Source organism: Homo sapiens, chromosome 1, assembly GCF_000001405.40.
Source record: "Homo sapiens chromosome 1, GRCh38.p14 Primary Assembly".
Taxonomy (NCBI): Eukaryota; Metazoa; Chordata; class Mammalia; order Primates; family Hominidae; genus Homo; species Homo sapiens.
Window position 1 is genome coordinate 121267184 of NC_000001.11, and position 16732 is coordinate 121283915.

At 42.7% G+C, this 16732-nt stretch overlaps 1 protein-coding gene across 2 annotated transcripts in view, besides 4 other annotated features; it reads left to right on the forward strand.

Annotated features, from left to right (window-relative positions):
- SRGAP2C (SLIT-ROBO Rho GTPase activating protein 2C) overlaps positions 1 to 16732 on the forward strand; it is a 207900-nt gene that overhangs the window by 82209 nt on the left and 108959 nt on the right. The gene's annotated exons all lie outside the window — the stretch shown is intronic.
- Positions 4202 to 4251: an enhancer, noted in NCBI's record as "active region_1605". NCBI's record gives its function as "activates an Ori minimal core promoter by ATAC-STARR-seq in GM12878 lymphoblastoid cells {active_cell/tissue: GM12878}" and the evidence as "EXISTENCE:reporter gene assay evidence [ECO:0000049][PMID:35858748]".
- Positions 4352 to 4421: an enhancer, noted in NCBI's record as "active region_1606". NCBI's record gives its function as "activates an Ori minimal core promoter by ATAC-STARR-seq in GM12878 lymphoblastoid cells {active_cell/tissue: GM12878}" and the evidence as "EXISTENCE:reporter gene assay evidence [ECO:0000049][PMID:35858748]".
- Positions 11510 to 11804: a silencer, noted in NCBI's record as "tiled region #15698 duplicate 1; HepG2 Repressive DNase unmatched - State 14:Gen5'". NCBI's record gives its function as "represses a minimal TATA promoter and a strong SV40 promoter by Sharpr-MPRA in HepG2 cells {active_cell/tissue: HepG2}" and the evidence as "EXISTENCE:reporter gene assay evidence [ECO:0000049][PMID:27701403]".
- Positions 11870 to 12164: a silencer, noted in NCBI's record as "tiled region #356 duplicate 1; HepG2 Repressive non-DNase unmatched - State 14:Gen5'". NCBI's record gives its function as "represses a minimal TATA promoter and a strong SV40 promoter by Sharpr-MPRA in HepG2 cells {active_cell/tissue: HepG2}" and the evidence as "EXISTENCE:reporter gene assay evidence [ECO:0000049][PMID:27701403]".

Here is a 16732-nt window from a genome sequence, read left to right on the forward strand (position 1 = left end):
TTACGAAAGATCATCACACTTTTTTTTGGAGACAGAGTGTTGCTCTGTCACCCAGGCTGGAGTGCAGCGGTGTGATCTCGGCTCAGTGCAATCTTTGCCTTGTGGGCTCAAGCGGTTCTCATGGCTTGGCTTCCTGAATAGCTGGGCTTACAGGTGCACCACCATGCCTGGCTACTTTTTGTATTTTTAGTAGAGATGGGGTTCTGCCATGTTGGCCAGGCTGGTCTTGAACTCCTGGCCTCAAGTGATCTGCCTGCCTCAGCCTCCCAAAGTACTGGGATTACAGGTGTGAGCCACCACACCTGGCCCATCACACTTTTTGGGTTTCAGGATGCCAACAGATCCTGGATTCTGGCATCTGGATTATGGTAGCAATATTGAAAAAAATATTATAGTGGGGAGTAAAATTTAGGAAAACCTTGCAAATTTTTATTCTTACTCAGGAGCTTTGTCTTCATACTCCATGGTCAGCCCTGGGCAATTAAAACTTTTGTTCCAGTAAAGGTTTCATTCTAAAGAGGTTTCATTAATTATGAAAAATTCCCCGTGGGCATTACATTGTGAATCCTTTTGTAGCTATCATAAATAATGAAGGAAAAACACTTGTCAAAATATAGCAGAGGTGACTAGATAATGCATCTCTCCTTTGATTTTTGATGGGTTTCCTTTTTTAATTTTTAAAGGAATAACTCTTGCTTATTTTTTTAAAAAAGTAAATACTCATTATAAAAAATTCAAGCAAAACTGTAAAGTAAAAAGAAGCCAGCAATAAATTGTTCCAAATCCCATCACCCAAAAAACAGCTCTTGATTCATTCATTCAATGTGCCTTTATTGAGTGCTTACTCTATGTGAGGCACTGTGGCATCGGGGATCAGCAGGGAACAAAGTGAAGTCCCTACCATCATGGAACTTACACTCTAGTGGGAGGAGAAAATGATAAACACCTAAATAGATTTACAAGTGGCATGAAGAAAAATTAAAATGAGGTAAGAGCATAGAGAGTGTCGGGGCACTTTCAGATGGAGTGGTCACAAAGGCTGCTGTGAGCAGAGAGCTCAATGAAGTGAGAGAGCTAACCACGTGACTGTGGGGAAGTATGCTTCCAGCGAAGGGAAGCATATGCAAAGGCCCTGAGGTGGGTGTTTGCTTGCCATGTTCTATGACCAGAGAGGCCAGTGTAGCTGGGGGCCAGTGAGTAAGGGTGAACTGGGCCATGTAAGGTTTTGGAAAGCCATTACCTTTTCTCCACTGGGAAGCCATTGAAAGATGATGAGCAGGGCTGCAGTGTGGAGAGTAGACTGCAGGGAAGCAAGGGAGGAGGCAGCAAGACCAGTTAGGAGCTACCACAGCAATTCAGAACAAAATGAGGCTGAGTTGCACTGTTCAAAAGGTGGAAGGGATAGGAAGGGTTGAATTCTAGACTCATTTTGAAGGTAGAGCTGATAGGATTTGCTCATGAATTGGATTGGGAATTTGTAAGAGAAGAGTCAATAATAACTCTGAAGATTTGTGGCCTGGCAGGTGAATGGTGGTACCGTTACTGGGGTAGGGAACGTGCTGGGGTGTGGTCAGGATGGGGTGTCAAGAGTTCAGGTTCGGGCATGTTAAGTTCTAGGTACCTGTTAGATGGCTATGAGGAAATGGTAAGTCAGTTGGAGGCTGGAGTTGACTGAGAGATCTAGACTGTAGATACAGATTTGGGAATCACCAGACATAGAATGGAATGGGATCTGATAGGAAGCAAGGAGAGATAGAAAACAGATCCTATGACTGAATCATGCATGGGGCATTTCAGCATTTAGATGTTGGAAAAGGAGAGGGCCCAACAAAGGAGACAGAATGTGTGTCTGTAGCATATCAAGAGAGTGTGGTGTTCTCAGGCCAGTGATGGTGGTGGTGGAGTCTCAAGAGTTGGCAATATTTAGCCATGTGCAGGTCATTACCACCCACCACAAGAGTGGTAGAAGCAAGAGCCTGGTTACAGTGGCCTTAAGAGAAAAAGGGAAGAAAGAAGGTGGAGGCAGGGAGTACGGACACCATTTTGAGTCTTAATGTAAAGAGAAGCCACGATGAAAAGGTAGGTGGGTTGGGAGAAGGGAAGAGATCAAGGAAAATATGCGTTTGTTTGTTTAATAAGATGGGAGAAAATACAGTGTGTTTGACTGCTGCTGGTAATGGGCCAGTAGAGATGGAAAATGATGATACGGAAAATAAGAGTGTATAATTTTAGGAGGAAAGGGCTTGAGTAAGCAAGAAGGGGTGGGTTCTGGTTTGCAGGTAGAAAGATAAACCTAGGTTAGAGGCTGAGACAGGGCAGGCAGGTAGGAGGGGAAGGCTCTGGATTTGGTAATGGTGCATATGGACTTTCTCTTCCAGTGTTAACATTTGGTACACATAAACAGAAGGGTGGCTGGTGAGGGTGAAATAATTTTATAAGAATGGCATTATACCATATGTACTATAAAAATAAAAATAACTGCATTTCTTTTTACTTGAATTTAACAGAAGAAAAGAAAACTGAAATGAAAGTGAAAGAGCTGCTGTACTTTTTTCTCTACCAAAGATAATAGTTCCTAAAAGTTTTCTCTAAGGTTAAAAAAAGATTATGAAAACTGTTAGGAGGCTAAAGTCACTATTAATATTTTTAAAGACATTTTTAGTTATATCTTCACTTTAGATGATTGTCTGGAAGAATTAGGTAATTCGTGTTTTTAAACTTCCTTGCACTACTCTTCCTATCTCTCAATTTTTATAGCTTATCTTTTTTTTGTTGTTTCTTTTTTTGCCTTGGCAATTTTCTAACATTTACATTCCAACTTGCATGCTCCCATTTTTTGGTCTTGGTGCCATATGTAGCCACTTGTTCTTTGATCGTGGCTTTCCTGTTCCTGTGGTTTTTGTTTTGATTGATCTACTGGGTGCAAGATTTCTGTTTCTCAAGACGAGTTCGTGGGTGCTACATAGGCTGAGATCTTTCAAGTTGCAGAGGAAGAGAGATGTCTGAACCTTTTTTACACTTGAGTGATGACTCAGCTTCTCCTAATATTCTTGGATCACAGTTGCTCTCTATCAGAATTTTTTAAGACATGGCTACTTTATCTTCAGGCCTTGAATATTGCTGTGGAGAAGTCTGAGACCAATCTGGGTTTCTGCTGTATTTTGTTAGCAATCCATTGATTCTTAAATAACTCTTTCTTTATCCTTGAAGGGCAAAAATTTAAACATTATAAGTCTTTGTTGATTTTTCTGTGTTCATTTCATGATATATTATGGGCCTTTTCTATTCACAGATTTAGTTCTCTGGATATTTTTTTCTGTTTTATTTATTGTCTTCCTCTGCATTTATTGTGAGTCTCTTAAGCCTTTTTTTTACACACCATTAATTAGATATTTAAAAACTTTTTATTATAAAAAATTTCAAATATATACAGTAGAGAGACTAGTGTTATGGATTCTCATGTACCCATCATGCTACTTTGATAATCATCAGCTCAGGGCCAATTTTGTTTTATCTGTATCCCTCACCCATTCCCACTCTCCTCCATTACTTTGAAACAATAGCAGATATAATTTATCTTTGAATATTTCAATATTTAAGAGATAAGGAGGTTTTTTTTTTTTTTTTGAGACGGAGTCTCGCTCTGTCGCCCAGGCTGGAGTGCAGTGGTGCCATCTCAGCTCACTGCAAGCTCCGCCTCCCGGGTTCACGCCATTCTCCTGCCTCAGCCTCCTGAGTAGCTGGGACTACAGGCGCCCGCCACCACGCCCAGCTACTTTTTTTGTATTTTTTTTTAGTAGAGACGGGGTTTCACTGTGTTAGCCAGGATGGTCTCGATCTCCTGACCTCGTGGTCTGCCTGCATTGGCCTCCCAAAGTGCTGGGATTATAGGCGTGAGCCACCGCGCCCAGCTGGACTGTTTTTTTTTTTGGTGTTTTGTTTTGTTTTTTTAAACTTAACCACTAATAAGTTTCATCTAGTCTGTTTATAATCTTTTTACTAAATATATAACAACATTGCCTTGTGGTGTTTAGATCAGCAACTTCTTTGCTCCAAAGGTACAGTGAATGATGACGGTTGCTGGGCCTCAAAATAAGGAAGACGAAACTAAGAGAACAGGCCACAGGACTCTCCCTGATGTTGAATGGCAGCACCTTAGATTGGGCAACAGTAACATGAGTTGCATACATAGGAAGTGCCCACTGGTTCCTGGGTGTTCTCTGAATTTCTAGTGCTCACGTGAACTGTGGAGGGCAAAGGAGGAGGATACGGAATGTACAGTTTCTTTTACAGCAATAAGTGAAACTTAGGCCCTTTCTGATTTAATAATAGCCCATGAAGAAGGAGCTGAGTGGTTTGAAGACTGTTCTAGTTCTGCCTTTGGTGGCCATGTGGTTTATTCCACAGCTTTTCAAACTGCAGGTTGAGACCTTTTACTAAATCATGAAAGCAAATTAGTGAGCCACAACCAGCATTTAAAAAGTTATAGAAAATATCAGAGTTCATGACTAAGGATAAATGTTGTTTCATGACACTTTTCAGTTGTGTGTGTATGTGTGTGTGCATGTGTGTTGGATTGCCAAAGTTTGAAGCCACTAGTTTTGTTCAATTCCTATCACTTTCTGTACCTTCTTTATCGAAAAGTTAAAGGATCAAAGAACCTATGGGATAGATTTTATGTATTATCAGAAATGTATATAAGTCGGGCACGGTGGGTCATGCCTGTAATCCCAGCACTTTGGGAGGCCAAGGCAGGTGGATCACCAGAGGTCAGGAGTTTGAGACCAGCCTGACCAACATGGTGAAACTTTGTCTCTATACAAAAAAATTGGCCCGGCGTGGTGGCAGGTGCCTGTAATCCCAGCTACTTGGAAGGCTGAGGCAAGAGAATTGCTTGAGGCTGGGAGGCAGAGGTTGCAGTGGGCTGAGATTGCTCTATTGCACTCCAGCCTGGGCAACAGAGCGAGACTCCATCTCAAAAAAAAAAAAAAAAAAGAAGAAGAAATGTATGTAGTGCTTACAGTATAATGTACCAGGAATTATTCTAATAACTTTACAAATATTAACTCATAAAAACTCTGTGAGGTAGATACTGTTATTAACAAAATTTTACAGAATAGGGACATTCTTTCATAGAGAGATAAGTAATTTGCCCAAGGTCACACATAGCTAGTAGGTGGTGGAGCTGGCATTTTGAGCCCAGGCAGTCCAGTTCCAGGGTCAGACTTTTCTCTGCGGCCTCTCCAGTGGATAGCATCTCTAGATGATGGCATGGACTTTTTCCTGCTATTGCCTTCAAGAAGAAATGGTAAAAAGGTGGTTCCCCCTCTTTCCCAACACATACACCTAAACATTCAGAGTTAAGACAGCGAGAATGAGGATTCTTAATTTGGTGAAGGTGAAGGAATTCGGGGATTCTTTTTGTTAACCAATCAACATTGCCAGCCTAGCACTAAAAGATTCCACTATGACAGACAACCACATGAGGCCGTATCTCAGCATTAGAAACAAATGGATGGGGGAGAGTGGTTAAGAGCACTGATTTTAAGAATTAAACACATCTAGGTTCAAATCCTGTTGTGATCTGTTACTGTCTGAGTGAGCTTAGGCAGTTAACTGATCTCTCTGAACCTCAGTGGTCCCTCTTTGTGAAATGGGAGGAATCGTGGTTGCCTTTTAATGGAGGCTTACTAGGCATCAGGCATGTAGCAAGCACTTTATATTCTCCATCTCTTTTATTCTTCATAACAATCCAGTGGAGTGGCTGCTATTACAAACTCCATTTTGTAGATAATGAAAACAACTTAGAGAGATTAAGTGTCTTGTTCAGGGAGACACAGGTACCAGGTGGCAGAACTACAATTAAAATCCAAGTTTTTCTGAATGCGGTCTATCCTCTTAATCACTCAGCTTTGCTGTGAACTAATCTCCCTGGGGTGTTTTGAGGATTAAGTGAGATACCTTTATACTTGAATAGTGACTCAATAGGAGCCTACTTGGCACATAATAAGCACTTAATAAATGGGATATGTGATTACTAGTAAATATATAAGATGTGTCTGCCTATAACTTTTGTGGGGACAGTTTACCTTTCCATAAAAAAAAACTGTGGTCAACTAAATCAGTTCTTATAACCAACCAGTCACTTCACATGTATATTGAGTTGTTGAAAAATAAATGGTTATCTATTCTGAAGGATCTGCTGGGCAGATTCTTTCATTGGAATAAGTTTTGTCAAGGACGGGACTGTCTACCCAACATCCAGAACAGTACCTGTCACAAGGTAGGTGTCTTAGTCTAGAGTCCTTGAAAATATAAATTAGAGGGAGAGGCAAAAGCGTACACTTCATTTGCAAGAGTCATCCCAGGGAAGCAGGAATGGGGAGAAAGGGAAGGAGGGAGAACATAACAAGAGATTGCTTATAAGTTGACTATAGCTTCATGAGAGGATGATTGCTTGGTCTTGTGGGACATCTTCACGTAACTATGTGAAGCTACTGCATCTCTGAACAGTCCACTGGGGCAAGGAGGGAAAATATTTCATTCTTCAATTTCTATCTCCTGTAGGTCAAAGTTTGATTCTTGGAGCCTCCACTTCTCTGTACTTGTTGTTGACATGACTGCTGATTGAATAGGTCACTCCAAGTCTCATGCTTCAGTAGCAGGAGAGAAAGCCTGGGTGGGATTGAGAGTCACGCAGCAGGGGTAGAAGGCAATGCACTGTCAGGCTGGTGCATCAACAACATATGAAGGCCCAGGAACAGCCATTGCAACAGGAACTGGGCAGACTGTTTCAGCCAGCAGCAAGGTAGTTGTGTTCATCTGGGGTGATGCATAAACTGAATCTGGCAGAGCAGGCCCTCAATAATGATAGACTTCTCATTGCCAAGGTTAATGAGCTCTTTGCCTTGCTGTCTTATTTAAATACTCCATAGTTATTGACACTTTTGTACATCTCTCTTCATTCTTAATCTACTTTCCTATCTCTCCTTGCTTTGCTTTCCACCTAAATGGGGATATCCTAAGCCTACATCTTTTTAATTCTACATGCTGTCTATGGACAGCTGCATTCACTTTGCTGGTTAACTTCCTAACTGCCATCTATAATATTTGCTGATGGCTCCCAAGTGTCTATTTCTAGACTTGACCTCTCCTGAGAACAGAAGGAGAATACAACTGCCTTTTCCAGTAGGATGCTTTGTAGGCATTTCACGGGCCAACTGAACTTCTTGGTCTTCTTTAATCATTTTTGTTTGTCCTTCTCACTGGTAACGAATAGGTGCTTGGTCCCTGCTTGTTGAACTAAACTTGAAACAATGTGCCAGTACTTATGCTAAGCTGGGTCCTGCACAAAATGAAGTGAACTCTCCAGAGCCAGCTCTACAGGAACGTAGGGTCTGGATTTTAATATTGATCTGGTTTGTTTTCAACTCGATTGTGTTGGAGCCTTGAGAACATACAGTGTGCCTTTGTCCTCTAAGAGAGTGGACATGTTTGAACTGACATTTGGTCTTTTCAGGAATTGTTTGGTAGGAAATTTCTTGGATTTTTACTCTCCTTGAGCTTTGACTCTTCTTGGGCTGTCCTGCTTTTCAAGACTCTCATTTTGCTTTGTCCAGAGTTTACAGAGCCCTTTAGAACTGTGTTTGTATCTGTTCTGCTCATCAGGCATGCAGGACCCTCTCTGCTGGCCCTGGCCTGCTTATTTACCCCTTCTCTTCATACTCTTCTGTGTGAACCTTCAAGTCACAAGGCTTCTCACAGCCTCCTGAGCTTCATCTGCCCATTTTAGCCTCTTTGACTTTGCTTTGCTAACTACAGCCCTTCATCTGTCATCCCCCTCGCTTCTGTTTAAATCCCCCCCACCCAAGGTCTCAAGAGGTCCATGCTAGATTTTACTGATTTCTTCCTCTCTTAATGTAGTCTGGGACCATTATTTTGGCACTTAGGATGCCAGTCTTATACTCTTAAATATTTTTGCATTTAGTCCTCCTTTTCTCCAATTCAATTGTAAGCTCCTTGAGAGTAAGAGACTGTCTTACATTTTCTTGTGTAAATATCTTACATTTTCATGTGTGTTCCAATGATTCATCACCCAGATCTTCCCACAGAGTTGGTGTTAGATAAATATTTGCTGGGTTTGTTGGTTGATTATCGTGGTCCTTGGGAACTGACTTGCAGCTTGTCACTAGCAATGAATCAGGAGCATCAGACTAGGTGACATTTCCCAGAGGAGCTGCTGGTCTTCACATCCTGCATCTTTAGTTTGTGGTACAAGTTAATTCTAAATTTTGGACCTTGAGAATTCTGTTTCTTAAACATCTCAGGCAAGACCTAGGAGCTAAAATTACTACTTTGGCATTTGATGTGGCAGCTTTTTCACTTGGGATCCTTTTGTCTTTAACTTGCTTTTGAGTCACTTGAAAGAACTAAGGCAGCCTGCCAAAGTAGTCACGATGATATTGAAATATCCCTCTCATTGGCTTTATGAGATTGTCTTCTGTGCATTCACTTGGGGCTGGAAAGTTAATGGATGACTGAACGTCTTTTGGAAACTTGTAGGGCCATTTTTCTTCTTCTCTTTCCCACTAGCTGGTTTCTCTTTGTTACCAAAGGTGCATGCATTGTTTTTAGGTAGTGTGGAGTTAATGTAAGGGGAGGAGTGTTTCTTTCTTTCATAGCTTTGGAATAATCTACCGCACAGGGCAGACAGTTTTGAAGATGGCCATGTTTAAAGTCCATCAGAGAAAACTACAGTCAAAAGGAAAGCCAGGGAGGCCAGAGTTCCAGTCACAACTGCCCCCACTACCCCCTTCCTCCCACCAAGATTACTGTCTTACCTTTGAACCCAAGGATGTCTCTTATGGCTCCAGTTTGCTGACTACTGTGAAGGGAAGTATGGTTTGGAATCATACTATAGAGTCATGGGCTCTAAAGTACGTGTTATTGCTAATGATTGGTGTTGGTATGTGCAGGGATTTTCCACTCATGGAATTCTCCTACTCATTTTGACCTCTCTACCATTCAGCTTGTATTGCTCATTAATGTTCACTCCATTTCTTCATTTAGACAGCATAGGACTACATCCAGCAGACTTCCTTCACTGTGATCTTGCTTCAACTCCATTTATTACATTCATCATGACACAAACTTTTACCAGCTCCATTTCTGGCTGCTTGAGATCCAAACTACTCTATTGGCCTTTGGAGCTATTCCTCCTCTTGCACCTTTATCTTTGACCAAGCCTCAGTGCCACCTTTTGTTCCAGTAAGGACATCTTCCTCCCTACCCCACAGAGAGGCCACGCTCAAACATTCCTATCTCTTGGTGTACGTTTTCTCTTACTCTGGAATATCCTCTCCTCACCCTTCATTTACTGAAATCCTACTCTTCCTCAGAATACTACTTCAGATTTCTGTTTCCTTCCCTTTCTCTCTCTCTTTCTCCTCTCCTGCCTTCCCTCCACAAACTTGGAGGCCTACTATAATGCTAGGTGTTGTTCTGGGTCCCACAAGTACATTAGTCAACTGAACAGACAAATTTATTCTTTTTTTTTATTTTTATTTTTTGAGATGGAGTCTCTCCCTGTCACCCAGGCTGGAGTGCAATGGTGTGATCTCAGCTCACTGTAACCTCTGCCTCCTGGGTTCAAGCGATTCTCCTGCCTCACCCTCCCAAGTAGCTAGAATTACAGGTGTGTGCCACCATGCCTGGCTAATTTTTTGTATCTTTAGTAGTGATGGGGTTTTACCATGTTGGCCAGGCTAGTCTCAAACTCCTGACCTCATGATCTGCCTGCCTCGGCCTCACAAAGTGCTGGGATTACAGGTGTGAGCCACTGTGCTCGACCAAATTTCTTCTTTTCAAGAAGTTTAGACTACCTCCAGAAGCCTGACTATAGTAATGGGATTCCCCACTGATCTTCCTGAGCTTTCAACACTTTCATTGTAGTATTTATTCTTAATTTCATGTCCTTATAGTATACAATAACATAATTTCTGTACTATATAATTATATATCTTGTGCAATTATGTAATATGAATTGTTATGTGAAATTTTGAAATGTATATTTGGATCATGTCTTCACAATTAGATTGTAATTTCTTGAGAACAGGGAACTTCATACTTCAGAAATCCTCACTTTATCCATTACCGCCCCTTTGCAAGGGACCAAAAATCCAAGGCAAAGTGGTTTTTTTGTTTGTTTCTTTTTTATGTATCTTTTATTTTATTTATTTTATTTTTTTGAGATGAGGTCTTGCTATGTTGACCAGGCTGGTCTCAGACTTCCGGCTTCAAGCAGTCCTCCCATCTGGGCCTCCCAAAGTGCTAGGATTACAGGTGTGAGCCACCATGCCTGGCCTAGGCAAAGTGTTTTAAGCGAAAATTGAATGAATTGACTTGTGTCACTGAAAGGTCCAGGGATAGGGCTGGCTTCTCATCGTGACTTCATTCAGATACTCATGTTTCCTTCTCCCCATCTCTCAGCTCTGCTTCTCTGGGCCAACTCCATTCTCAAATGGGCTTTCCACTCACGGTAGCAAGATGGCAGTGGCAGTGTCACACTCTCTTTGTCCCCAGGTCTTCCATCTCCCAGCCAAGGCCTGGATTTGAGAAAGCACACTATCTTTGGAGAGGGCAGGGGTGGGATCAGTTTTACTGAAAGCATGTGGACCGAGAGTGGGGAAAACATGGATATAAGGAATGAAAAACAATTATTTCAGAAACATAATAGCTATTTGTTGGTTGGTTGTGCCTTATGTATTTAGTTTTTTGAGACAGGGTGTTGCTCTGTCACCCAGGCTGGAGTATAGTGGCACAATCACGGCTCACTGTGGCCTTGACCTCCTGGGCTCAAGCAAGCCTCCCACCTCAGCCTCCCAAGTAGCTGGGACTAAAGGCATGCACCACCTCCCCCCGCCAGCTAACTTAAAAAAAAAATTTGTAGAGCTGGGATTTTGCCATGTTGCCCAGGCTCGTCTGGAACTCCTGAGCTCTAGTAATCGGCCCACCTCGGCTTCCCAAAGTCCTGGGATTACAGGGGTGAGCCACTGTGCCTGGCCTGTTTTGTGCCTTACTTAATAGAGTAAAGTAATGCAGAAAAAGACTATCAGTCACACTCTTTGAGGAAGAATATTTGCTGTTTCCTAGTTTACTGAAAGTATCTTGATGGCCTTTTCTTGGAAACTGACTACTCATAGGTAAGTAATGTCAGTCACTGAGGATGTGTTATAGCACATATAACACATTGAGGGTGGTGCTGTGTCTCTCTCTCTGCTCTGTGCGCATACTCATTTGTTTATATTATTATTTAACCTTGTTTGTTACCGTTTTTTTCTTCTTTCTTCTCCACTACCCTGCTAACTTTGAGGAAGAACTTTTTGTCTGTATTCCCAGAGCACCCGGAAGGCACTCAAATAGATGTTTGCAATGAGAGTAAGTAAAAGTAGGAAAGGACATTGGGAACTCAGTGACTTGGATTTCAGTCTTGGATCTGCAACTAAATAGCTGTGTGATCTTGGTCAATCCCCTTTGCTGCTCTGAGCTTTGGTTCTCACATCTGTCCAGCAAGGATTTTTGAGTCCTCCCTTTACTAAGTTCATAGAAAGGCAAACTAGCAGAGTAGAGAGCAAGACTTGGCAGGGCATTCTGGTATTTTGTTTCCTGAGGAACAGTTTTGAGAGGGGCTGATTACTGTTGTGATAAGAAGTCTTGGTAAGAGATATGGAGGGTAGCGCCTGAAAGCCTCAATTGTATTCTTATGTAACATTCTCTGGAAAGGTACTAGGAATTAATATTCCTGAGATGGCTGAGGTGACATCATGTGTTTGTGAAGGGGCTAAAAGCAGGTGAGGCAGATTGGGTGGAAAAAGACTGGCAGTCAGACCAGGTTCCCAATGGGGAGCGCGGGCTGATCTGCTCCACGTGCTGGCAACAGAGCCTGTGGGAGATGCAGCTCCTGCCCCCTGGGTGCTGGCACATCAAGGAGAAAGGAAGGACATGCCTGTGTGACTCTCCTGAAAGATTACATCTGTCTCCTGGCCTGCCCTTCCTCCCCCATTTTCTCCTTAGAAATGTGGTATTCATGACTTAATCAGAGAAAATTCCTGAAGAAGAAGATGAATTTTGAAAGGAGGAAAGAAAGGGATCTCTGGATTCAAAGCAATAGGCTGAACACCCCCACTCCCTCACCCCCTGTACTCTGCTGACTGTTGAATTCCCTGGATGTTCTCTGAAGTGAGGGCAGTTTTCAGAGGACTGTGTCATCTGCATTGGCAGGTGTTGTAATTTGGAGTCTACATGATTGTCAGTGTGGCAGGGCCCTGCCTGTTTTTGTTAAATGATCAGTATCCTATTAGGGCTAGTTTTTCTGCCAGTTGCATGCTTATTGAGACCCTTCAGCATCTTTCTAAAAAGGAAATAAGCCTCTTTCTAAATACTAGGACGAGTATAGTTAGTGTCTCAGCTGTGGCCAAGCATGGGCAAGGAGGCAGCATTTCCCAGGGGAAGCTTCATGGGTGTGTCTGGTGATGCTGGATTTGAATTCACATATAAAAACACTCCCTGGCAGGTCTTTATCTGACATCGTTTGGAAATGGTGATCTGCCAGTGGAGTTCAATGTCATGGCCAAGCCTACGGCCCAGAGGGGCAGCTTCCAAGATTTGCTTTAGGAATAGTCAATGCAGAATGTGTTTAATTCATACACACGGGGAAATGGAAACCAAGAATCCGTTCCTCCTTTTGGCTCCTGTTTGTTGGGTTATTTTCCCCTTCACTGGCAGATGGTGCTCAACAGAATATGCTATGTGGTGGGGTTGAATTTTTTAATCTTTTTTTTCAGTGAGATATAATTCACATACTGTAAAATTCACTCTTTTAAAGTGTACAATTCAATTTTTTAAACATATTCACAAGGTTGAGCAACAATCATCACTATCTTAATTTCAAAACAGGGAGGTTTAAATTTGTCTTGAATCTCTGCATGAAATATCAACCAGAGGTCAACTCTGATTCTCAGGAACCTTTTAAAAAAATTGGGTTCCTCTTGCAAGGGAAGCTGCAATTTTTATTCAAGTGTCATTTTTAAAAAAACATAATAAGAAAAAATGATAGAGGACATTGGATTTTTCTTAGCCCTGTTATGTGATTTCTTTCCGCTATTGATGATTTTTAAATATTAGATCTTCAGGTTGGGGCTTATTACCACAGCTTTGTTATAATAAAGAATATTTAAAGCAGAAACAATAAGACTTTTTGTGTTCTCTTGTCCTTTCTCTTCTTTGTCAAGCCATGCCTCTTTAGACAGAGCTTAGACCTGTCTTTTCCTCCTTTGTCACCATCACCTAGCACAGTGCCTCCATACAGGAAAGGCTCAGTAAGATTTGCTGAATAAATGGGCTCTACTGGGCACTCAGGGGAGGCTGTTTGGATGTATATATCACTCCAGGTGACTCATGGCGACCTTAGTACTTTGGCTTTGTGAATAGCCAGGGAATTCTTTTGTACCCCTAAGATATAGCTGCTTCTAGAAAGTGAGAGCTTGACTTCTTTCCATGTATTTCTAGGGAAGGAACTGGCAAGGACCCCACCATCTCCATAGCTCCCAAGAATTCTCATCCAACTGTAAACCAGATGTGTAAAGCCTTCTTGAGTTGGTATCGTGAAGCATGGTGTAAGTGGTATGAGTGGTGTGAGTCTTTGAGTGTGTACACATGATGTGCACATGCATGATCGCCTAAGCACATGAGGGAACTGTGAGGAGTTCCTCTATGTTTTTAAATTGCCTCTTTCTTCTTTCTGCCCTTTTGTTTGTTGATAGGCCAGGGTTCAGAGGGGCCTTCAGCCTGGGCACATGGCCCAGGAGTGCTGGTATTCAGTGGCCCATTGTTTCCTGCCCCTTGTGTGCATGAACGGGGACTGGGGCCAGCATAGCTGCCTTCTTGGGGACCATTGTTTGTCTTTGTAGGAGTAGCAGCAGCAGCAGCGCCTAAGGCAGCACATTTTTCCCTGGATAGAACAACTGTTCTGTCTTGGAGCTGTACGCCTAAGAGTGAGAGTAGTTAGAATTTCCCTTAATGCCTGTATGGATGCTTTGAAGATGGTAACAAGGGAGGCATCTTCTTCTTTCTGCTTCCTTTCTTCTTTTTCCTTCTTCCTTCTTCATTCTCTTTCTTCTTTCTTTTTCTCCTCCTTTTCCTTCTCCTTCTCCACCTCCTGTTCTTCCTTCCTTTTCCTCCTTCTTCTTCTTCCTCTTCCTCTTCTTCTTTTTGGCCAGTTGTGAGGGAGGGGAGATGCTCATGGTGTCATATCACAAATAAACCACACTAGCAGGTGGTATCTATTAACAGAGCCTCTTTTTTTTCCTGGATCAGGGGTGGGGATATTGCTTTCTTACTGTCTCTGTCCTCTGGGCTTCCTGGTAGACCTCAGGGTGTACTCACAGGACAAGAAAAGCACTTCCCCCTAAGCTGTCCTGTAGAGTAGATCTAGGAAGTGGGGAAGGGATCCAGTGTGGTTGTGGACAGATTGAAACAGAGCTAGCTGGTGAGTCGGTGGGCAAGTCCAAACTTGTCTTAGGGGCCTGAATCAACCCTCAGCTGGAAAGTGGAAAAGGCGATGTTCCAGGAGTTAAGAGTCATGGTCACTGTGATTTACACAGAGATACTTTCAGAGACTCCAAACTGGTGTTCTATTTCTCTTGTTTTTGTTTCTCTGACCTACTATTAACCTCTTTGACAAGTCAGACAAACCTTAATTTAGCTCCAGCTCCTGTTGCATAATTGTTGACCCTTTGGTAAATTACTTAAAGAGTCTTACTTCAGTTTTCTCCTTAGTGTAATCAGGATAATTGTGGATACCTTACAGACTACCTGTGAGAATTAAATGAGATGATACATAGAAAGGCCTATAAAATGTATTCAATAAACACATGCTCCCATCCCTTCAGGGTTCCAGAGGGAGTACCTGTGATGCAGCATATACTCTGCTGCCCTCATTGAGGCACCTGCAAAATCAGGCTGGAATTCCTTGCTGGCTGGATGTGCTTGGGGGTTTCTTATATTAAATCACATATCTCAGAGGCCTCCTATTAAGTACTTGTTCCTTGGACAGGCTAACTCTGGAGTGGCCTACTTCTGGAACTTCATGGGACTTTGCCTTGTCCTCTCTTTTTTTGGCAGAGGGTGGGTGTCATCCAACTAACTATTCCTTTCTATTCCCCTGGTGAGTGAGATTACTGAGGTAAATTCTTAAGTGCATTACAGGGGACTCAGAGGGACCTGACAGCCTTACTGCCCATCCATATCCCCTGTACATCTGTTACTGATTCAGTACCTGGAAAGCCTTTCCACCCTAAAAACGCCTTGGTTCTTTTTTTTGTTGTTTGTTTGAGACGGAGTCTCGCTCTGTCGCCCAGGCTGGAGTGCAGTGGTGCGATCTCTGCTCAGTGCAAACTCCGCCTCCCGGGTTCACGCCATTCTCCCACCTCAGCCTCCCCAGTAGCTGGGACCACAGGCACCTGCCACCATGCCTGGCTAATTTTTTTTTTGTATTTTTAGTAGAGACAGGGTTTCACCATGTTAGCCAGGATGGTCTCGATCTTCTGACCTTGTGATCCGCCCGCCTCGGCCTCCCAAAGTGCTGGGATTACAGGCGTGAGCCACCGCACCTGGCACTTGGTTCTTACTGAACGGATGGAATTTAAGTAATATTAGTAAGCATTCTGAATGCCCTCTCAATGTACAGTCTGCCCACCCAATGGCTATTACTATCAGCTTTTCACTAATATATTGAAGGGGGACAGATGCCTACAGGAATAGTCTCAACAAGGGCTGTTCCCTTTAAGAGACCCAGAAATCCCTGGCAAGAACCAGATGCCTGACATAACCTCTGCAGATCTTTACCCCCAATACCCTTGTAATCAGACTCTGTAAAACACAGAACAAGAGAGCTTTGATGAGTGATGAGGTAGGCAGCTTTTCTGCACAGCCTTCTGTCTGCTTGAAACAATCCTCCGGAGCTCAGTTTCAGTTCAGGTGAGGTTACTGCAGGGCTGGTTGGCATTGGTGGTTGACAGGGAGAGAGATGAGGATGAAGAGGGTGAGAATTGCGCTTACAGATCACCTGAGATCATCTGCAAAGGACATACTGATATTTGTAAAAACAGAAACAAAAATGTAGATGGGGACAGATTGTGGAGCCTCGACTACTTTAAGGCAAAGCTAAACGCACCATTTACCCATCCTCATTGCTTCAAGAACATTTCAGCATCATAGTTCTGATCCTGATTTGCCTCTGATTTATCTGCAGCTCACATGAAAACTCTAGACCCCCTCTCCCCATAATGATGCATTACATAGCATTACATAGCATAGACAGAAAGCATTGTTGCAACTGTACTATTTGGGAATGAATTTGGGGCACACATAAGGAAAGGCATAATATAGGTGCTCCTTTTCTGTGGGATTGGAGTCACTGTCACATCCTAATGCATTTGGAGCTGAGCAGGCTTGCAGAGGGAAAAGATGAAAGAAATGGCTCCATTCTGACTCAGATGGGGATTGGGACATAACTTCAGCAGGATACACACTGCAAGCCTTCTCTGAGCTGAAAATCAGTCTGGCTTTGGCATACTGCTTCCTGTGAGTGCCAGGTCTCTTGTCAGTAACAAATGCAGTGCTGCATTTGAGGCAAATCTGTTTGCATCTATAGCTGCCTTTGCAGCAGTTCCAG